The 4441-nt window shown below is 60.1% G+C and overlaps 2 non-coding genes across 2 annotated transcripts; both read left to right on the forward strand.

Annotated features, from left to right (window-relative positions):
- Positions 1 to 394: 394 nt before the first annotated feature.
- On the forward strand, positions 395 to 574 carry MIR3648-2 (microRNA 3648-2). The gene has a single exon (NR_128711.1). It is a non-coding gene; the product is annotated as a microRNA 3648-2 (primary transcript).
- Positions 575 to 1012: 438 nt separating this feature from the next.
- On the forward strand, positions 1013 to 1061 carry MIR10396A (microRNA 10396a). The gene has a single exon (NR_162105.1). It is a non-coding gene; the product is annotated as a microRNA 10396a (primary transcript).
- Positions 1062 to 4441: the final 3380 nt, after the last annotated feature.

Below are 4441 nucleotides of genomic sequence, written 5' to 3' on the forward strand. Positions count from 1 at the left end.
GATCCCGCGGCCGTGTTTTCCTGGTGGCCCGGCCGTGCCTGAGGTTTCTCCCCGAGCCGCCGCCTCTGCGGGCTCCCGGGTGCCCTTGCCCTCACGGTCCCCGGCCCTCGCCCGTCTGTGCCCTCTTCCCCGCCCGCCGCCCGCCGATCCTCTTCTTCCCCCCGAGCGGCTCACCGGCTTCACGTCCGTTGGTGGCCCCGCCTGGGACCGAACCCGGCACCGCCTCGTGGGGCGCCGCCGCCGGCCACTGATCGGCCCGGCGTCCGCGTCCCCCGGCGCGCGCCTTGGGGACCGGGTTGGTGGCGCCCCGCGTGGGGCCCGGTGGGCTTCCCGGAGGGTTCCGGGGGTCGGCCTGCGGCGCGTGCGGGGGAGGAGACGGTTCCGGGGGACCGGCCGCGACTGCGGCGGCGGTGGTGGGGGGAGCCGCGGGGATCGCCGAGGGCCGGTCGGCCGCCCCGGGTGCCGCGCGGTGCCGCCGGCGGCGGTGAGGCCCCGCGCGTGTGTCCCGGCTGCGGTCGGCCGCGCTCGAGGGGTCCCCGTGGCGTCCCCTTCCCCGCCGGCCGCCTTTCTCGCGCCTTCCCCGTCGCCCCGGCCTCGCCCGTGGTCTCTCGTCTTCTCCCGGCCCGCTCTTCCGAACCGGGTCGGCGCGTCCCCCGGGTGCGCCTCGCTTCCCGGGCCTGCCGCGGCCCTTCCCCGAGGCGTCCGTCCCGGGCGTCGGCGTCGGGGAGAGCCCGTCCTCCCCGCGTGGCGTCGCCCCGTTCGGCGCGCGCGTGCGCCCGAGCGCGGCCCGGTGGTCCCTCCCGGACAGGCGTTCGTGCGACGTGTGGCGTGGGTCGACCTCCGCCTTGCCGGTCGCTCGCCCTTTCCCCGGGTCGGGGGGTGGGGCCCGGGCCGGGGCCTCGGCCCCGGTCGCGGTCCCCCGTCCCGGGCGGGGGCGGGCGCGCCGGCCGGCCTCGGTCGGCCCTCCCTTGGCCGTCGTGTGGCGTGTGCCACCCCTGCGCCCGCGCCCGCCGGCGGGGCTCGGAGCCGGGCTTCGGCCGGGCCCCGGGCCCTCGACCGGGACCGGTGCGCGGGCGCTGCGGCCGCACGGCGCGACTGTCCCCGGGCCGGGCACCGCGGTCCGCCTCTCGCTCGCCGCCCGGACGTCGGGGCCGCCCCGCGGGGCGGGCGGAGCGCCGTCCCCGCCTCGCCGCCGCCCGCGGGCGCCGGCCGCGCGCGCGCGCGCGTGGCCGCCGGTCCCTCCCGGCCGCCGGGCGCGGGTCGGGCCGTCCGCCTCCTCGCGGGCGGGCGCGACGAAGAAGCGTCGCGGGTCTGTGGCGCGGGGCCCCGGTGGTCGTGTCGCGTGGGGGGCGGGTGGTTGGGGCGTCCGGTTCGCCGCGCCCCGCCCCGGCCCCACCGGTCCCGGCCGCCGCCCCCGCGCCCGCTCGCTCCCTCCCGTCCGCCCGTCCGCGGCCCGTCCGTCCGTCCGTCCGTCGTCCTCCTCGCTTGCGGGGCGCCGGGCCCGTCCTCGCGAGGCCCCCCGGCCGGCCGTCCGGCCGCGTCGGGGCCTCGCCGCGCTCTACCTACCTACCTGGTTGATCCTGCCAGTAGCATATGCTTGTCTCAAAGATTAAGCCATGCATGTCTAAGTACGCACGGCCGGTACAGTGAAACTGCGAATGGCTCATTAAATCAGTTATGGTTCCTTTGGTCGCTCGCTCCTCTCCTACTTGGATAACTGTGGTAATTCTAGAGCTAATACATGCCGACGGGCGCTGACCCCCTTCGCGGGGGGGATGCGTGCATTTATCAGATCAAAACCAACCCGGTCAGCCCCTCTCCGGCCCCGGCCGGGGGGCGGGCGCCGGCGGCTTTGGTGACTCTAGATAACCTCGGGCTGATCGCACGCCCCCCGTGGCGGCGACGACCCATTCGAACGTCTGCCCTATCAACTTTCGATGGTAGTCGCCGTGCCTACCATGGTGACCACGGGTGACGGGGAATCAGGGTTCGATTCCGGAGAGGGAGCCTGAGAAACGGCTACCACATCCAAGGAAGGCAGCAGGCGCGCAAATTACCCACTCCCGACCCGGGGAGGTAGTGACGAAAAATAACAATACAGGACTCTTTCGAGGCCCTGTAATTGGAATGAGTCCACTTTAAATCTAATCCAGGAAAAGAGTACAAAACGCCACATTCTCACTTGTATTGGGAGCTGAAAAATGGGATCACATGGACGCAGGAAGGGGAACAACACACACTGGGGCTTTTCGGGAGACAGAGCGTTAAGAAAAACAGCTGTTGCATGCTGGGCTTAATACCTAGGTTATGGGTTGACAGGTGCAGCAAACCACCATGGCACTCGTTTACCTTAGTAACAAATATGCACATCCTGTCCATATACCCCAGAACTTAGAAACAGAACGAAACAAAAGAAAACCAGAAAGCAATAGCAAACCGCTAGCGGGAAAACAATTTTTCAAACTCAGAAAATGACAGACCAATTTTTCCTTCAAATCATGGTTCTTAACCCAGGTGCCATAAAGTCAGGGTAAAGAATTTGATTACATATTGTAAATAAGACATGCAGCAAATGACCAGAAAAATTATTCCCAACATATGTGTGTCTTTGAATTCAATGGTGACGCTATCTACCGGGACATAACATTAGATTCCAAAGGGCCGAGTCCTGCAAGACTGTCCTCCCATTAATAACAATGGAAAGCCCTACGTTGTTTTAGCTGCTTTTCTCAGCAGCTGGTTATAAATCAGGTTTCCACCACTCCCTGTTATAGTTGCATCCATTTGCTGGAAGAGCTCACAACACGCAGGGAGGCCATTACATTTACCATTTTATTGTTGCAGATATTGCAAAAAATTTAGAAAAATTTTTGGTCCCGTCTTGTTTGGAGTGGCACTCTACCTTCCAGTTAGTGTTATCCAGAAGCTCTCTACAGCCATTCCTTTTGGATTTTTTTGGAGACCTCACTCTAGAGGCATGATGGGTTAAACTATAGGCTGTTGGTCATCAACTCAACCTGAGGCTCTGAACCCTCCCTGGGAATTGGGGTTGAGGCTTTGTAAAAGAATTTGCACAAACGGAATTTTAAAACAGATTAGCGTAACTGGAATCTTAATTAGATGATTGAATTATCTGGAGTCACACCTTGATATTGCTAAACCGAGCACCCTCATCCAAAGAAGGTTCCTCCCAATTGGCTCCTAAGTCTCTACCTGGTTCCAGAGCAAAAGAATGTTTTATACAAGGCATATCTCCACCTCTTCAAAGTCTTTTCGCTTACACGGGTTATTCTTAAACCGCCATGCATCATGGTCAGGGGGAGGGCTTGTTACAACACAGATCTGTGGATCTCCGTGTTTTGAGGGTTGAAAGGATGCTGCCGTTGTCAAAAGCACAATGTGACAACCTCAGAACCACTAGTTGGTTTTCAGTGTTTCAGTGCATTTAATTCATAATATATTTGGTCAAGAAAACTTGTAAGTTCTTAAGTTGTCCCAAAGGTGGCACATGAAATCAAATCAGGAGAATAGTTTCCTACGAGGTGTTTCCTGGTTAAGTTGTGGGTGACTCATGGAAAGGAGGAGTGAAGCGTCGCCCTTTCCACTGCTAGGCTGCGCGCGATGCTATTTAAACCCACCCTGACGGGCCTGTACTCAGATCTTCACAGAGCCGAGCAGCGGCCGGAGCATTTTGCCAGCTCTGCATGGACTTGTAGCTCACAGGGTCTTGCGACTTGGAGTCGGATTCAGAGGACTGGACAGAACACTTGGATTAAGTGAGTCTGTCTGTCTGTCTCATTGGTTGGTTTTTCCATTTTCTTAAGGAGCGCATACCTCACACCACACACACACACACACAGACACTCTCACACTCACACACACTCCTTCATTCTCAGGGTTTGAAAATTTGTTGGGGTCCCTGGGAGCTTCAGGTTTTGTAATCCTGTCTGCACCTGAAAACAGTAGGGTCTTGTCTGGCTCTTCTTGTGAACAGTCCCTCAGCCCGGATTCCCCAAGTTCGATGATGCTAGCCTCACCCAGCTTCTCCCTCTCCCCTCTCAGTAACTCAGACTTAAGAGGAAGCTCCTCACCAGGGATCCGGAGCTACCATTCACCATCCCCTAGGGCTTCTCCACACTCAACTCTGTCATCCCCAGAATCCCACAAGCTCCCATTTCCCTGTCCTCACCGCGATGGGCAATCAATGAAGCCATTGGGCTCTCCCATGTCATCCTCTGATTATTCTTCAGAGTCACCGCGTTCATCAATTATGTACCACATGTTCTTACTGCCATCACCCAGCAACTCTCCCCCAGCTCTGGGGGAGTCTCCTCTGTCTCCCAGCTACTCTCCAAACAACCCCAGATTTCAGCTGGAGTCAGCCTCCCACATCCAGGATCACCTACAAACTCATGAGCCTCACGGTGCTCCTCCCCTATGT

This window comes from Homo sapiens, chromosome 21, assembly GCF_000001405.40.
Source record: "Homo sapiens chromosome 21, GRCh38.p14 Primary Assembly".
Lineage (NCBI taxonomy): Eukaryota > Metazoa > Chordata > Mammalia > Primates > Hominidae > Homo > Homo sapiens.